The sequence below is a fragment of the Homo sapiens genome, chromosome 18 (genome assembly GCF_000001405.40).
Source record: "Homo sapiens chromosome 18, GRCh38.p14 Primary Assembly".
NCBI lineage: Eukaryota > Metazoa > Chordata > Mammalia > Primates > Hominidae > Homo > Homo sapiens.
The window spans coordinates 31,080,778-31,099,700 of record NC_000018.10 but is presented as its reverse complement, the minus strand read 5'-3'; the positions used below and the strand labels follow the sequence as shown (position 1 = coordinate 31,099,700).

At 34.4% G+C, this 18,923-nt stretch overlaps 1 protein-coding gene across 4 annotated transcripts in view; it reads left to right on the top strand.

Moving 5' to 3' along the window:
- Positions 1-18,923, top strand: part of DSC2 (desmocollin 2) — a 43,582-nt gene that overhangs the window by 2,721 nt on the left and 21,938 nt on the right. For all 4 annotated transcript variants that reach the window (NM_024422.6, NM_004949.5, NM_001406506.1 and 1 more), the window contains exons 2-9: positions 6,058-6,142; positions 7,401-7,600; positions 8,554-8,673; positions 10,107-10,262; positions 11,888-12,032; positions 12,959-13,125; positions 16,641-16,775; positions 17,278-17,463. In NM_024422.6, the coding sequence (NP_077740.1) occupies positions 6,058-6,142; positions 7,401-7,600; positions 8,554-8,673; positions 10,107-10,262; positions 11,888-12,032; positions 12,959-13,125; positions 16,641-16,775; positions 17,278-17,463 (1,194 nt within the window). The remainder of the gene's footprint in view (positions 1-6,057; positions 6,143-7,400; positions 7,601-8,553; positions 8,674-10,106; positions 10,263-11,887; positions 12,033-12,958; positions 13,126-16,640; positions 16,776-17,277; positions 17,464-18,923) is intronic.

The window sequence follows — 18,923 nt, the reverse complement described above, 5'->3', positions numbered from 1 at the left end:
GATCACTGGCTCTCCTGTGCTAAATCCAAATGACTCATTCTTTATATGGTTCCACCTTGTAGCTTTTGCCCTTATTCTTGACATTCACTCCCCCCCGCCTTTTTTTTTAATCTTTCTGACCACTCAGGGTCTGACTCCCTACCTAGCGTCTTGTCTTTTTCTTCTTTTTCTGTTGTCTTTTTTTGGTTTGGTAAAAATGACATAACATGAGATCTACCCTCCTAACACATTTCTAAGTGTATCGTATTGTTAATTATAAGCACAATGTCATATAGCAGATCTCTAGAACTTTCAGTTTCCATAACCAAACTTTTATATCCATTAAACAGCAAATCCCTGTTTCCCCTAACCTCCGTCACCTGGCAACCACCATTCTATTTTCTGCTTCTATGAGTTTGACTACTTTTTCCTGCACTCTTAAATGCTGGTGTCTCTTGGTTTTCTGTTCTAGGTCTTGTCCTTTGGAATCTACACTCTTTCCCTAGGGCATTTTATCCACTTTTATAGCTTAAAATATCACACAGTTGCCAACATATACTAAATTAATATTACTAGTTCAGATGTCTTCATTGAACAATAGTCCTTTGTATCACTCTACTGACTGTGATGTGTGACACAGCATTTATTATCTTCCCAAACAATGTTGTTTTTCTTTTAGTGTCCTGTATTTCAATATATGTCAGTACCATATGCCTGTTCCTCAAGTAGGAAGTCTGAAAGCTGTTTGTTTTTTCTTTCTCACTGCTCCCCTTCCTTAATCCATGAAGTTCCATGAACTCTACATTCAAAGACAGCTCAGGGGTCTATTCACTTGTACCTGTCACTTCTGCTATTACAAATAATGTCACAATGAATAAATTTGAATGTATGTCATTTCATATGTGGGCAGGTGTATCAGTAGGACAGATTACCAATAATGGGATTGACAAATAAAAGTGTAAATTAGGCCAGGTGCAGTGGCTCATGCCTGTAAATCCCAGCACTTTGGGAGCCTGAGGTGGGAGGATCACTTGAGCTCAGGAGTTCAAGACCAGACTGGGGAACATGGCAAAACCCCTTCTCTACAAAAAATACAAAAATTAGCCAGGCATGGTGGTGCATACCTATAATCCCATCTACTTGGGAGGCTGAGGTGGGAGGATCACTTGAACCCGGGAGGTGGAGGTTTCAGTGAACCGAGATCGCACCACTGCACTCCGGCCTGGACAACAGAGCAAGACTCTGTTAGAAAAAAAAAAGTGTCTAATTTTGTTAGATTTTGTTCTTCCCTCCATAAACATTGTATATGGCTAGACAGAAAGCTATTTTATGATAGATATCACATGATCGAGGATATATATATTGGTGTAAAGATAAATTGAATCTATGCTTCATTCAGAACACCACAGAAAATTCCAGAGATGAAAGATTTAAATGTAAAATATGTTTCCCTACAGATAATAGAAGAAAACGTAATAAATTGTTATATAAATTTGGAGCCCACGAGGCCTAGTTATGACTTAGATTTCGAAAGCCAATTTATTACAATTGAGAAAAACAATTATATAAGAGTACATATATACATACTTCTTCATGGCGAAAAAACACCTCTAACCAACCAAAAACACAACAAGCAAAGTCAAAAGGTGATTGATAAACTGGAAAAAATATTCATAGGTCATATTTAAAAGGCTAATCTAATACATAAAGAGCTCTTGTAAGTCAAGAAGAAAAAGTGCAACATGGATGTAACAGTATCCATAAAGTAGTAAAATGGCTCTTAAGTTATAAAAATATGTCAACCTCACTCATAATAAAATATGAATAAAAAATTACATTAAAATGCCATTTCACACTTGGCAGACACCCAAAAGTTCAACAACGTGCGATGTAGGCAAGTATGTGGTTGACTCATAAATTATTGGTGGGTATAATAAAAAGTTACAACTTTTAGGGACTTTACGCAGTCATATCTAATGCAAATACAAATTGTTTTGCCTCTTCTTTTCCAATTCCTGTGGGTCAAATATCATTCTATTCATATGCCAGTACCATATTGATTTAATTGTTGAGATTTTATATGATTTGTAATATCTGCTAGGGTTGATAGCCTTTCATTGCTTTTTAAAAAATAATTTTCCTATCTTAATTTTTTATTTTTTCCTTATAGCCTTTTAAATCAGCTTGTTTAGTTCCAGAGAAAATTTTATGGAGGTTTTTATTGGTATCAAAAAATTTGTAATTTAACTTAGTAAGAATCGATATAGATACGTTGTTGATTTTTGTCTTTCTTTTTTTGCAAGTGTACTTTTCTGCCCTGCAGAAATGTTTTCAGGTTTCCTTCAAATAGGCTTTACATGTTTCTTGTTAAATTTACTCCTTGGCATTTCAACTTTTAATTGCTTTTGAAAATGATTTCTTTTTTTTTTTTTTTGAGACTGAGTCTCGCTCTGTCGCCCAGGCTGGAGTGCAGTGGCGTGATCTCTGCTCACTGCAAGCTCTGCCTCTCGGGTTCACACCATTCTCCTCCCTCAGCCTCCCGAGTAGCCGGGACTACCGGTGCCCGCCACCACGCCTGGCTAATTTTTTTTTTTTGTATTTTTAGTAGAGACAGGGTTTCACCGTGTTAGCCAGGATGGTCTCTATCTCCTGACCTCGTGATCTGCCCACCTCGGCCTCCCAAAGTGGAAATTTCTTGTATTATCTGACTGGTTTTGTTTATGGGTATGAAGACTAACCATATTTTCATGGTTATTTCTGCTTCCTTACTTAAGTCTCTTCTTGTTTTATAGTAATGTAATGGTTGATTTGCTTGGGTTTTCCAGGTAAACAGTCATATCAAATGCAGAGATTTTTTTTACATCTTCCTATCTAATATCCTTCTCTTGCAAATATACCTTCAATATAATGTAAACTACATATAGTGACCTTGGAGAGCCTGTCTTGTTTCTGAGTTTAATTGGATTGCTTCTAGTGTTTTCCCATTTGTGTTGTGTTATAATTTATAAAGATCACATTGCAAAAGTACTTATCAATTCTTATTTTTTGAGACTAAAAAAAATAAGAATGGTTATTGAATTTGGTCAAGTGCCTGTCAGCATCTATGATGGTGATCACATGTCAAGCCTTCGTTAAATTCATGGCTTGAAGTTTCTGGACCAAGCAAAAGATGTGAGTGTGGATCACAGATCCACGCCAGGGCCAGTTTACTTGTGGCTCAAATTTGTAATGAAGATTTAGCATTTGGGTCCCAGATTAATGTGGAGCGGATCCTCTTAGATCTTAGGTGGGCCCTGTGCTTTGATTTCATTCTCCTTCTCTCCAGAGGCCAGCAAAGCAGAGTCAAATCTTTGCAGATCAGAAGTTGTTCCTGAGTTCCTCTTATCACTGTGTGTTCCAGCTTTATCTTCAGTTTTGGCCTAGCAATTGCTTGCTATTTTGTTAGCTCTTTGATGCTTTAGGATGTTTGAAAAATGTTATCCCTGATTTTTAATTAGTTTTGGCATAGGTTTTTCTTAATTACCTAGCTTGTTATTATTGAAAATGACAGTTTTTTCCATTCTCCACATTGGACAGATCTATCACATTCAAATATAAAGCTGCTTATTTAATTTATTTGCTCCAAGTAAATCTTTGGTTTCTCATTCTCGTTAGGAAAAAAGATCCATGTGCTTTGCTAATGCCGTTCAAAATCTGGCCCACACCCACTTCTTTGAGCCCATGTTATACCTCTGCCCCCGCTCTGGTACACACATCAACCATTCCAGATTTCTTCTTCAGGTCTGTGCCATCTCTGGGCCTTCACATATGCCATTCTTCTGTTTGCAGCATTTAAGCTCTGCCTCCTCTTAGCCTGTCTCACTTGTAGCCGCTCTTCAGGTGACCTCACCTGGCTTTTAGATATCACTATTACCTCTGCTCTCCCATAGCTCCCTGTACTTCCCTATCATTACATTTGTCTTACTTTGTTGAAATTACAAATATGTCTTACCTTAGATTGAATGTTTCATGAGGATCATGTTTACTGCTCTGTGTGTGGTACATGATACACATTCAGTAAATATTTGTTGAATTCATGCATGAATGGATGGATGTCCAAGATACTGTTATTCAAAGAATTGTCTTAATCCAACCATTTTTCATCTTCTCCAACATTATTACCTTAGCCCAAGTAACCATTACCCCACTCTTAGATTCCTGCTGTAGTCTCCCAATCAGTCTCTTGGTTTCCACTCTTGCTCTTCTATAACCTATTTTCCACATAACTAGTAGAGTGATTCTGTATAAATATCAGTTTACGCCACTCCACAGCTTCTTCATCAGGCTGTTGCTTCTCTTTGCACTCAGAACAAAATCTGCACTCCTTACCATGACCTTTTAGACCCTACATCATTTGCCATTGACTGTCCTTTTGTTTTCTTCTCCTGTCACTCTTCCCTCGCTGTGCTCTGCTGCTATGACCACCTTGTTTCTGCAATACACAAGTCTCCTTCCAGGGTCTTTACTCTGGTTCTTGCCCTACCTGGAAGACTCTTCCCTGGTTAGAAAACTGGTTTACTTCCTCACTTCATTTACGCTCAGGTATTCTCGTTGTCACCCTCTCTCCCTGCTTTATTTTTGTCGTGACATTTATCTCTCGCTGCCTTGGCATTATGTGACATTTGTGCATTTGTGTATTTCTTTTGCTTCTTATTATCATGTAATCTTCGTGAGGCAAGGACTTGGCTTTGTTCACTGCTCTAGCCATTGAATCCGTTTAGCACCTACTAAGCAACCAGTAAATGTTGGTTGAATGAATAAGTGAATGTATTCTTCCAATCACCTTGAGCTGGAATCTTCAGAATCATCTGATTCTACTCCTATTCTCTCTTGGCTATGCAGCCAGTGAAAATTCTTCATATCATTTAATTTCCAGTTCAAAACTAATGTCTTCATTGTGTCTATCCCAACATTCCAAATGAAACACAACCTCTGCCTTATTTGATCCTTCAAATGTAATTAAAACTGGATAATTTAAGTCTTTAATATATATTAAAAATAAACATTTCCATCCAAATTTTGATGATTTTAGTTTATATTTATAAACTTTGTAAGTAACAGTGTAAATGCTAGTTAACTGTCTTGCTTTTGGTCAAAGATGTTTGTAAAACTAGAAAAAAAGAATGTGAATCTTTGAGAAACATCCATTGTAAAGTTTCAGACAGAACAAAATTAAATTTCAGTGTGTTTACGTATATGTTGCATTGGACTTGGTTCACCATGAATCACTAAACCATTGAAAATTTTTAAGTAAATTATTTTCTAAAATGAACTTAACTTTTATTTATGAGAAGATACACCTTCAAAATAATTTTATATTTCAAAGTTATGTGCCTATTGTGTGGAGTAACACATAAATATTCTCCAAATCACTTCATGGCAATAAGTTAATGTTTGTCTTTAAAAGCATTTACTTTTTGTTTAGGATATTATTGATTTGATATCATATCTCATAAGCAATTAAAAATGTACTGAAACAGTTTGCTGCCTCAGTAAATTTGGTTTTCTCTTTCCTATGTATATACCTGTGCTGCCTTCCTGATAGTTTTCAGCACTCTCCCACCTAGGCTGTTGTTGGATCGTCACTGTACCCACTGAGTTAATCAGTGAAGTTATTACATACGTTTTACAATATAGTAAACAAAGCTGAAGAGCATACATAACTCTTTGAGTTTACAAGCTTTTTGCAGGAGGAAGCTAGAACTCAGTATATTGTTTTATTCTTCTCCTTGATATATTTTTGTCCTGATTTCTTTCTCCAATATGTTTTTATTTTATCTCCAATATTTTATTTATGTTTTATTTATAATAACATAAATCACATATAATTATAAATATAAATTCATGTATTTATATTTAATTAAATATTTTAAAATTAATATTTAGTGTAGTCAATATGTAATATAATTAACATTTATATAAGTATTATATGCCTTTTTATGTGTATATCATTATAAATTTATAATTTATATAAATAATATACACATTAAAGTTTTCTTTTTATGCATAATATTTATTTGATTTTTTTTCATTTTTTAGATCTTAATATTTGCCAGTGATGCCTGCAAAAATGTGACATTACATGTTCCCTCCAAACTAGATGCCGAGAAACTTGTTGGTAGAGGTAAGGAAGCCCTAAAATTTGTAATAAATCCTGTTTTGCTGTGGTACATATACGCCATGGAATACTACACAGCCATAAAAAGGAACGAGATCTTGTCCCTTGGAAGGGATGTGGATGGAGCTGGAAGCAATTATTCTCAGCAAACTAACACAGGAATAGAAAATCAAACACTGCATGTTCTCACTTATAAGTGGGAGCTGAGCAATGTGAACATGTAGGCACAGAGTGGGGAACAACACAAGTGGGGCTTGTTGGGGGTTCTGGGAGGGCGAGAGCATCAGGAAAAATAGCTAATGCATGCTGAGTTTAATACCTAGGTGATGGGTTGATAGGTGCAGCAAACCAACATGGCATGTGTTTACCTATGTAACAAACCTGCACATCCTGCACATGTACCCTGAAACTTAAAATAAAAACACACATACAAAATAAATCCTGATTTGCTGTGGTATTTTAAAATTAGTGTAATTTTTAGAATGATAACTCTGTTGGGACCAGTAGATAAAACTAATGTAGTATATTATCATTTGTAATATTTGTGGTGTCATTCTAATGAAAGGAATATTGTTATTTTTGGAAAACATGATTATATGAAGTTGATAAAAATATTTCACTTGAGTAATAATTATTAACATTTACTTTAGAGAAAAGATAAAGACATTTAACATGCCTCTAAAAAATTGAGAAATAGTACTGAAACTGTTTTTTTTAGTTTAAAGATACTGTTTTTGGATTTTTATTCTTAAATATTTCACTCTGTATTGTATTTTTTTATCAATTAAATTATTTCACATAATTCTGTAAGAAAAGATCAATCCAATGATAGCATAAAATGTGATCACTGTTTAGCAATAGATGTAAAGAATTTAGTAATATTTTCATTTAGCAAATGCCAATTTTCATCTGCTAGATTCTGTATAACTTCAGGTGTATTTAGGTGTTACTCTATAGCTTATTTCTGTTGATAAAGAAAAAAATTGTTTTGGTTTTGGTTTAAAGATTCAAACACTGGAGCTCACATATGTTTACTTCAGAGCAAATGTCTCTTCTTTAAGAGAATGTTAAGTAGGTATTAGAAGTGATGTAAGTATTTAAGCACAACTTAATTCACCATATAGTTTTATGTGTCCTTTCAAAAATTTACAAGTGTCAGTATAATGAATTTTAAGTTTTTGGCTCTCCCCACGTGCATACATTACTGTTAAAACTATATCCTATGTTTTACTTTAAAAATGATTGCTGTGCATATTTTCTACAGTTAACCTGAAAGAGTGCTTTACAGCTGCAAATCTAATTCATTCAAGTGATCCTGACTTCCAAATTTTGGAGGATGGTTCAGTCTATACAACAAATACTATTCTATTGTCCTCGGAGAAGAGAAGTTTTACCATATTACTTTCCAACACTGAGAACCAAGAAAAGAAGAAAATATTTGTCTTTTTGGAGCATCAAACAAAGGTATACAAGGCTACATAAATGAAGAAATGATATCTTTTCTTCAGACGTAATCAACATTACCAGGGAAGATATGAAATCAGAAAGGATATGGTATAGTTTGGCTTAAAGACGAATGAAAACCATGAGGCAACTTCACAGTGTTTAGAAGGAAAAGGGCTGTGTCACATGGTTCATTCGGGTTGTCATTCCTTTTCATTTGGGACGTAAAAGGAGAAATTGGGATAAGGTACAGCATGGGAAAGTGAGATTAGACACAAAGCAGCATTTTTTTTTTGAGCTTTACCGTAGAATGGATTTCTAACAACAAGTTTTGAAACTCTGTATAAAGAAAGGAAAGCTTTTTTCTCGCATTCATTTTAGCATAATCTGTGGTCTTAAAACATAGATAACTATTTTAGGAGGAGGTTTGGACCACATGCATGCTATTGTGTTGTGACACCCAAGATCAAAATAACTTGTATTCAACCATTAGCCATTCCTCACTGCAGCAGTTTGAGAGTTGTCACCGTGTTTCTCTCCTCATTCTGACACAGATCTCTCTGTTGGTTCCCTGGCTCTGCCTAGTTGCTGGTGAGTGGAAGTTGCTTGTGCTAAATTTAGAAGGGCACATACACACTTATTTTCTTTGCATATCTCTCTCCCATGTTTTTGCATGGCAATGGGGCAACAGTAATTTTTTTTTCAGTTTTGCTTCTAGGCTTCCAGTTCCATCTCTCTTTCTTCCATATTTCCACCAAATCATTTTCCCAAGAGGATTGTTGTGATAACAGTTAGGACAGTTACTTCTTCATTATCTTTTTGCAGTGTTGATGATTAGTTTGGTTTTCAAGCACTCCCATGGTCTCACCCCTACCCAGCTAATCCTCCTGAGAGGAGAAAGATGTGTCATTGTTTAATGTTTGAGAATAAAGTAGTCATTGACTTTATTATTTTTTCCTGTCTTATGAATTGAGGTCCTAAAGAAAAGACATACTAAAGAAAAAGTTCTAAGGCGCGCCAAGAGAAGATGGGCTCCAATTCCTTGTTCGATGCTAGAAAACTCCTTGGGTCCTTTTCCACTTTTCCTTCAACAGGTACCGTTTTCTTTCTTTCTGCTGTGGGAGTCTATAGTTTCCATCTCTTACCATTATGACACTGAGTATGAAGTTATTTGTAATAGTTGTGTATAAATATGTGAGTGAATGAGTATGTGTATAATATGTTTCCATATAAGGGTATAAATATATCTCTTTATACTTGCATACACTTTTGTTCAGCTTGCAAAGGCCAAGCATAAAACTGTGGCACTCAGACACATGGTTCCTTAATGAATTGTCACATCAGCAAGGGTATCGCCAAGCCTAAGAATAGCTAGAAAACCCAAAACTCTCTTGCATAATAAAGGAGAAAATTGGATGAAAGACCAAATGCCACGAAGGAGGAAGACACATAGGCCCTTCTATCTTTCTATTTCTTGTTCTTGAATCTACATCTGAAATCACACTGGATCCACATTTCTTTCTCTCTCTCTCTGTCTCTGTCTCTTTTTGTTTCTTTTTTTTTGTAGCGATGAGATCTCACTATGTTGCTTAGGCTGGTTTTGAACTCCTAGGCTGAAATGATCTCCCATCTCAACCTCCCAAAATGCTGGGATTACAGGCATGAGCCAAGCATACCTGGCTCTTTTTCTCTGTCTTGTTTTAACTTTCAGTAGAAACCCCAGCAAGCCTTCTTGCCTTCTTCCATTACTGGTGGCTACTACATTCAGTCTATGACTTTGGTTTATTTTCCCTCAGTTCTTGACATAGCAAGGGAGAATCCTTTTTATACCCCACCAACAAATTTAATACAGCTGAGAGAAGAGCATATTAAAGTTGAGAAATTGTTAGAAAACAGTTGTGTCAGTTATCCTGATATAAAGATAGGATGTTACTGAGAGGATGAACACAGCTTGGAGGAAATTTGCTTTTCGAATCAAGGATCAGAATATTACACATTCCAAAATATTATTCCATTTCTATTCTCACTCATATTTTTTTTTTTACTCAGTTCCTATAAGGAAGATGTTGGCAAAGAACAAAAAACTCATTAAGGAAATTATTGTCCACATTTTTGCCCTGCAGACAGTACACTTTAAACTCGGTTCTTAAATGTTATGTTACATATAATAAAAACTCAGTTTTTTAAAACATTGACGACAGAATAATTTTCCATGCTCAGAATACTTTGTTTTCTAAGACAGGAAGAGTCTTAAGTGTTTTTTCCATGTATAGACACCATCTAGCCTGTCAAATATTCCTTTAGTTATTCTGGAGAACTAAGATGCACTACATTATTTTACTCATGCCTTGCTCTTGAAATTTCTCAATTGGACTTTCTTATTCTATTGCTGTTTTAATTTATATATAATAATAAATTAAGGGCAATTATTTAAACTAATAAAATGGCAATGAGATTTCATAAATATATAGATGAAAGCTCTGCTGAAATAAAGATTTGTCTCATGTATATAATATCTACTTTCTAGGTTCAATCTGACACGGCCCAAAACTATACCATATACTATTCCATAAGAGGTCCTGGAGTTGACCAAGAACCTCGGAATTTATTTTATGTGGAGAGAGACACTGGAAACTTGTATTGTACTCGTCCTGTAGATCGTGAGCAGTATGAATCTTTTGAGGTAAAGTCTAAAATGTGTGTACTGTATTAGCAATGATGATGCTTGGCCATTTTGTCTCTCATTTGCAATTCACGTAACCTTTTCTGCTTTCTGAGTTTGTCACCAATGCTCTGGCTACTCCCTAATAGCACATAATTGACTTGAAACAAAAAATATTTTCATAGAATAAATAATATTGGATTCCATTAGATTGTTCCTGGTATTATGGTTTTACTATTTTTTTTTCCCCCACAACAGTACCACTTTGAAGAACAGTTTTTTTTTTTTTTTTTTTGAGACAGCATCTCACTTTGCCACCCAGGCTGAAGTGCAGTGGCGTAATCTCGGCTCACTGCAATCTCTGGCTCCGGGGTTCAAGTGATCCTCCCACCTTAGCCTCCTGAGTAGCTGGGATCACAGGCACGCACCATGATACCCAGCTAATTTTTTGTATTTTTAGTAGAGATGGGGTTTCACCATGTTGGCCAGGCTGGTCTCAAGCTCTTGACCTCAGGTGATCTGCCCATGTCGGCCTCCCAAAGTGCTGGGATTACAGGACTGAGCCACCGTGCCCGGCCAAGAACAGTTACTTAGTTGGCACAAAAAGATCTGTGAACCTCTTTATAGTATGGAGATATCATAGGAGGTAAATGAAGTTCAGTCATTAAGTAAACCTCAGTACCCTGGCAATGGGAGAGCATTAGTTTATGGGGAGCAGGTAGGGGGTGTGACAGTGCTTACCTAAGCTTACTCAGTCCTTTAATCATCTGGTTAATTTCCTATGCTGGAAAGTGAGTTAATATGAAAGAATTTAACCTAATGCTGGTTTGATTTCCCAACAGGACTTGGTCATTTTGCTTAAGTCAGTTTTAATTATTTTATGTCTATTTTGGATGAATTAATTATTCATTAGAAGACCAAATTAATCAAATAAGACAGGCAAGCTTTGAATAAAGTATTTAGGTTTAGAATTGCCATGGCCTGGCCTTCTGAGTACCTAGGATGTTCTGGCCTTTCTATGATAGCTGTTATGAGAAAATTGGTATTGAAATTCATATTATAAAAACAAAAAAATTAAACTGTATTCCACCACAGTTTACCACCATTCATTTGTTTCATTTCTGATTCACCCTTTTTAAATTAAAAATTCTTTGAAAAGACTTACCCAAATGTAACCATTGATATGCCTAAAGTCCTCATTAGTAGAAAATAGGATAATATCCCAGTTAACTGTACCTGGGTAATCCTACAGGATCCCAAGTTCAGAAAGATCCAGAAAGTTGTATTTAAAATCCATGCACCTGAACCTTTCAAACAAAGCAAAATAAAGAAGTCTTCAAGGCTGTTTGGGAAAATAACAGTAAAAATTGTTACACTCATGAATAACAGTATAGCAATAATGAAGAAACTAAAATTATCTTTCATAAATTTAAAGAGATAAATTTAAACATACAATGCCATATTGAATCATGAAATTAGGCACCTCTTTGGCATTAAAATTATATCCATATCCCAGAACAATAACAAATGGTGAGACTCATACTGTAGTTCTGAACAGTCTCCAAGTTAAAGCCAAAATGAATTTGAAGCATACCTCATTTTAAAAGATTATTTTCACTTTTCTCCTTATTTTACTCTCTTCACAGATAATTGCCTTTGCAACAACTCCAGATGGGTATACTCCAGAACTTCCACTGCCCCTAATAATCAAAATAGAGGATGAAAATGATAACTACCCAATTTTTACAGAAGAAACTTATACTTTTACAATTTTTGAAAATTGCAGAGTGGGTGAGTACCTCCTTAAACAATATATGGCAAATTAACTGTGTTTCAATTCATACATTTAGTTTCACTATGTCCGTTGAGAAGCAGCGTATCCCAGCAGCAAGAATAAGGGACTCTGGGTGGAATTTTACTCTGTGTTTCACTAGCTGTGTGATGCTTGGCAAATTTCCTAATCTTGGCAAGCCTAATTTCTTCATCTGTAAAATGGGTTATCAGTATGCCAGATTGTTATGAAGATGAAGTGAAGCTCAATACACAGCGAATGCCAAGCACAGTGCCTGACAAATAGGAGTTAATAAATGTTATGCTGTCATCCTATGGATGGATGGATGTAAGAGAACATAGCCCAAAAAGAATAAGTCTTTCACTAATTGGAGATGTAGTCTTAAAGATATGTACGGATGTTCTCTAGGATTAAATGTGATTGCCAGTATTCTGGGCACGATTATGAAAGTCACTGAGAATAATACAAACATTTTCTCAGCCCTGTGAAAATGGTCTGTTTTAACTAAAAGTCAGAATGCAGTTTTGGAGACCTTGTCTAGAAATGTCTAAGTGAACCATGCAGTTTTAGAGAAAACTGACTCCTATGATCAATCTAAGCACAAGCTTACAAACAGAGAAAAGTTATAGAATAATCAGAATTGTTTAGTCTGAAAATACATGGAGGGATAGTATCAACATTTATAAAATCATACATTAAATACAATAAATATGAATATGATCACCCAATTCGAAAATGCTAGTATGCCAGAATATTTGAAAGGAAGTGATACTGTATGGAGAGGTCTGCAAATTTATAAAAGCCATGACTTTGCCATGTAATAATGTGGTCCAGAACTTTTTTGAGGTGGGTGAAAAGGAATGAAATAAAGGGAACATAGAACATGTGAATGTTTTGGAGATTAAAAAGGACTTTTCTTCTCTAGGCACTACTGTGGGACAAGTGTGTGCTACTGACAAAGATGAGCCTGACACGATGCACACACGCCTGAAGTACTCCATCATTGGGCAGGTGCCACCATCACCCACCCTATTTTCTATGCATCCAACTACAGGCGTGATCACCACAACATCATCTCAGCTAGACAGAGAGGTAACATAAACATTAATAAAACCTGATTATAACGTGGCTATTCAATAGTACCTGTATAACTCCTGTAGATGTGTTTTTGAAAAGTATGTTGTGAATCTCATTTTAGAAACATTATTATTTTATGTATGTTAATAGAGATCACTAAATAACCTTGGAGTATGCTGGTTTTGAACTGCTAATTCATTCTTTTCTGAATTGTTTGTTTCATACAATCAGATTTCCTGATATAAACATATTTACAGTATTAAAACAAAATGTCAAATATGAAAAGTGAACCTTTTAAATATATGCAGAAATTTGTTATCTTTTCAACAATCTCATCTACATTCTACCTCTTACATAGATGAAAAGACAGTTTATGTCTCTCTAATCTCTGGTTTCCCATTTTTAATCAACTGCTAGAAATCTTGATTTGGATGTCTGACAGGTACTTATGATGTAATAAATCTAAAATTTAACTTGTCTTCTTTTCTTCTAAACATATTTTCCATTCTATGTTTTCTAGTTAAAAAGATATTTATATATTCTTTCTCTATTAATCATTTTCTATTGTCACCTTGGAGTCATGGTCTCCAAATTGTATTTGATGTCTCTTGGCCCCCCTGAATCACATCACTTCCTAAAGCATGTTTTTACCTCCAAGATTGTTTTAAATCTATATTCTGTCTCTTTCTACTGCAATACCCTAGCTTAGTAATTCATTCACTTAGTTATTCAACTATTACCTCCTCCCTGAAGCATTATTCATCTAAATTCTTATAGCAGTTTCTGTGTCCTTATTTACTATATTTATAATCCTTAATCTTAAAATATAGTAATAGATGTTTATCAGGTATTTTATTTGATTCTTAAGTCTTAAATCTTCAGATTAATTTTCTCTTCCTTCCTCTATCCCTCATGGATTAGGGTAGAGGTTCTCAAAAGCTTTGGTCTCAAGACCAATGCTTGACATTATTACATATTGTTAAATATTGTTGAATACTGTTAACAGTGTTAAATATTGTTGAAAATCCCAAAGATCTTTTATTTATCTAGGTTATATTTATCTATGTTACTTGTTAATGTTTAAAACTAAGGAAAGTTTAAATTATATATTAATTTAAATATTAAAAATAATAAATTAATTACATGTTAACAGTTAAAATTCTTATAAAATAACAGTAAAAATTGTTACACTTTTTCTTCTTTTTGTACTTACAAAATAAGTACATTTTCCAAAACAGTACAATTTAGTGGGAAGAATGACATTGTTATGCATTTTTCCAAATGTTTTTAGTATTTTGCTTAAGACAGGTGGATTCTCATATCTCCTTCTGCATTTAGTCTGTTACAATATGTAGTTTTAGCTGAAGCATATATAAAGGCAATCTGACATGATATAAAATTAGAAAAGAGAGTAGTATTTTGATGATAATTACAGATCACTGTGGATATTATTCCTTGATACTACATGAATACTTGATAAGGAGTAGCTTGTTTCCTAAATGTTTTTGGTAATGTGGACTCTGAATCCTCAACAATGACCTTTTGTACTTTATTACGTTAAAATCCATTGCTCTATCTTACACTTTGAGTGACCATTTTACCAGTACATCATTCTATATTGTGCATTGGTCATTTGGAAAATATTGGTTCACCAAGTAATGCAGAGCTTCCAAATATTGACACATTGCATTAAATAATATCAAAAAGATCACCTCTTTACTTCCATTGATATCACATTGGTTGATAAAGGTTTTCCAAGCTTCTCATTTTTGTTTGAAATCTCCAATTTATCATTGGCAACAAATAGTTGTTTTCCCTGAAGTGACAGATTAACTTTATGTTTTACAAAATACTTTCATAAAACTATAGTCTGCATAGCCATAGATGTCTATGTGAAAATAGCATTCTATGGAAAAAAAAAAAAAGCAAAAACTCAACAGCTTGTTCAGCTCCTAAATCAAACAATCACAGAAGTGCTTTTCTTTGAATAGATTCTTCTGAAATAATCAGTTGAAAACACTTGTCCAGTGAAGGTGTTTATCCAGTGGTGCTCTCTAGTAACTTTTTGACCTCAGGATTCCGGTTTTCTTCAGTTGCCTACAACCTTTTAGTCCCTTTAAACATCAGAATTTCTCTTCCATCTGAAGATAGCATAAGTTAATACTTAGGGTATCAAACTTCATTTCCTTGTTTCATTAGCCAGTTAATTATTTCCAATAAATTTTAGTTCACTACAAACAAAATATGTATTCCTTCTTGAAAGTACAGTAGCATGATGTTTTAAAATTTTTCAGTTGAAATAAGGCCATTATTTTTCAAGTCTACACATGTGATTGGTTATGAGGGAGGAGTAAATCTGGAAAATTATGTGTGTTAAAAGCAGGAAGATCAAGAGAAACTTTAGTTTTATTTTAGATAATGCCTAAGGAAAAGAAAGTTTCAGAGATGATGGAATTAAGGGAAGAATCTTTGTAAGAGAAGGGTGAACATTCTAGGTAGAAGATGAGGATAGATTTTAACATGCTATTTTGTCTTATGAAAAGAGATAAATTAGGTAGGAAAGGTAAGCATCACCATCTTATAGAAGAAGAAACCTAGACAAAGTGAATTTTCCAATTGCCCAAGATTGTGTCTCTTATTTTTGGAGTTGGAAATAGAACCCAAGTCTCCTAATGCTCAGTCCGGAAAGCATTATTACTGTATTGTTTTTAATTCTCCCATATCTCAATCACTTATGATAAATGAAAGTTATAAGGAGAAACACTTTAAAATATTTAAATGCTTCAGATGTTTAAAAATATTTTTTAAGGTAGTGATGAGTTTTCAACAATATCTGATAAATTGAAAGCCTTAAGAGCCAGATTCTATTTTCCACAGAAAGAAAAAAACCTACATAGCCCCAGACCTTTATCTTCATGTCAGTTTAGATGATCTCTTAAATGTAACATAAACCCTTAAAATCTATATTTTTTGCAGGAAGAAATTTCATTTTATTGTTTTGTTAAAAGACTATTTTAAGAGTCATTGCTGTCTATTTTTTTGAACATAAGAATGTACTTTGGCTAGGAGATAAAGGTTTTGATTAATTACCAGGCAATTTTAAATGCACTTGTGGCAAATAGCTCTTCTTTTTCTGTTGAATAAAGACAAAACCAATTGAATCTATATTCTGTAAGTTAATAGCACTATAAATTTGAGAAACTATTCAATTTTCATAAATTGATTAAAAATTCCTAGTGTGATTCTCCTGCCTCGCTTGAACCCGGGAGGCAGAGGTTGCAGTGAGCCAAGATCACACCACTGCACTCCAGCCTGGGCAACAGAGCGAGACTTCGTCTCAGAAAAGAAAAAGAAAGAAAAGAAAAGAAAAATTACTAGTGAGAGAAAATTCTTCTAATACACGAATGCTGTGAAATGTAATAATGCACTTCTTAAATTCTTAGTGCAAAAAAATTATGGAGTGTAAAGTAAGATTTCAATTATAATGTTGGTGCTTTCCCCCAATAATTAAATTCTTTTTTTGTTTTCAGTTAATTGACAAGTACCAGTTGAAAATAAAAGTACAAGACATGGATGGTCAGTATTTTGGTCTACAGACAACTTCAACTTGTATCATTAACATTGATGATGTAAATGACCACTTGCCAACATTTACTCGTACTTCTGTAAGTGTATGATATTAATTAAAGAAAAATGTATAGACCAGTTTTAATTGTTTAATATGCACATCTCTGGCCTGGCGCAGTGGCTCACGCCTGTAATCTCAGCACTTTGGGAGGCCGAGGCGGGCGGATCACCTGAGGTCAGGAGTTTGAGAACAGCCTGGCCAACATGGTGAAATCCCGTCTCTACAGAAAATACAAAAATTAGCCGGGCATGGTGACAGGCACCTGTAATCCCATCTACTCGGGAAGCTGAGGCAGGAGAATCGCCTGAACGTGGAAGGCAGAGGTTGCAGTGAAGGAAAAGAAAAAAATGCACATCCCCATCCACCCCTCATGATTTCAAATGAAGTGCCCCAGTGACATTAAAAGTTGTATAGTGCTAGGGTTTCAAATCATGTAAACATAGTACTTTGGAAATTAGAAGAGTAGGATTTACTTCACATCGTGTTCAATTTTTGTGAGAGTTACTAACGAAATTTTTTGTTTGCTTTTATTATTTTAGTATGTGACATCAGTGGAAGAAAATACAGTTGATGTGGAAATCTTACGAGTTACTGTTGAGGATAAGGACTTAGTGAATACTGCTAACTGGAGAGCTAATTATACCATTTTAAAGGGCAATGAAAATGGCAATTTTAAAATTGTAACAGATGCCAAAACCAATGAAGGAGTTCTTTGTGTAGTTAAGGTAAGAATAAATTAGAACATTATTTGTAGTTTATAATATCATAGAATAGCATGCTAGAATTTAATGGAAAGAAAGGAATTCTGATAAATGTAGAATAAAATAGGTATATAAGTAAATGCAAATGCTCTGTTCTTCATATACAATGGAAAGAATATATTAGTTTTTGATAATCTTTTGTTTAGGTATTTTTTTTTTTAAAAAGTCCATATAATACAATATCTATTTTGTAACCAATATCTTTAAATGGTTCAAAAACTAGCACAGCTTTGATGCCCCTGGGACAGTGCCAGACTTTTCCTAGCCCAGTTTTTCTGTGTTTGGGTCAAGGAGCCTTTATTTACTTACTGAATTTCCCAAATCAAGAGTTACTCTTGGTCAGCCCCATGGAGAGGTTATTCATAGGTTTGTTCATCATATTCAGTATATATTACATCCTTAGCATCCAGGTTCAGAATGAAAATCCTCAGTGATTCAACAATGCAAACACTTCTAAAACTTCTTTCTAATACTATTTCAGCAGCCAGAGTTAGTGCATAAAGCAATCTGAGCTCCTTTAGCCTTGGACAAATTTATAGACTTATTTCTGCTGCATCTTTAACCAGAACATGGTTTTACAGTGGGTCTATGCCGTTTTCTTTTTGTATATATTCACAAGGACCATGGATTAAAAAATGATGAATCCATTTTCCTTACAATGATGAAAATCAGCTGCTGTTTTTATATTATTTTCTCTATTTTAAAATAGCAGAGAAATTTCCTTTAAATCTTGTCTCTTTCTTCACCTAACCCCTCCCCTAATCCTTGGTATTCTCAGAAGGAAATTTGTGTGAAGTCCAAGACCTGAAAAAATTTCTGTCTTCTAGGGCATGGTTTCACTAATTCTCATTACAACTACATATCAGGCAAGATAAAATAAAACCTTTTATTAAATATGTTCCCGTCTTTAAGACAGGAACTGGAATGGAAGACACACATAAAAAAAGAAAATATGATGCCCATAAGCTTTGTATTTTCTTGTCTTGCTCCTCTTAAAAGCATTTTAAAAAAATTTACCCATTTTTTTCTCTTCCTCATACCAGGTACAAATAATTTTATTCATCTTAGGAGGGTAAGACAAGCTGTCCTAAAATTTATTTTGTAGTAAATAACTATTGTTTATAGTATGAATCCCCTAAAGGAGTATCTCATGTATTAATATCCAAGAACCCTCATTAAATACTCTCTGAAATCTTCATCAATACCTGTTATACTACTTATCTTAAATTTGCAGTTGAAGAACAATTTTCTGTCCTTTTTTTTTTCCAGCTTTACCCAAGTACTGAATCAGTGGGAGAACTCCTCTGTCTCCACCACCACTGGGTTTCTGGGTGTATTAGTCTGTTCTCACATTGTTATAAAGAACTACCTGAGACTGGATAGTTTATAAACAAAAGAGGTTTAACTGACTCGCAGTTCCACAG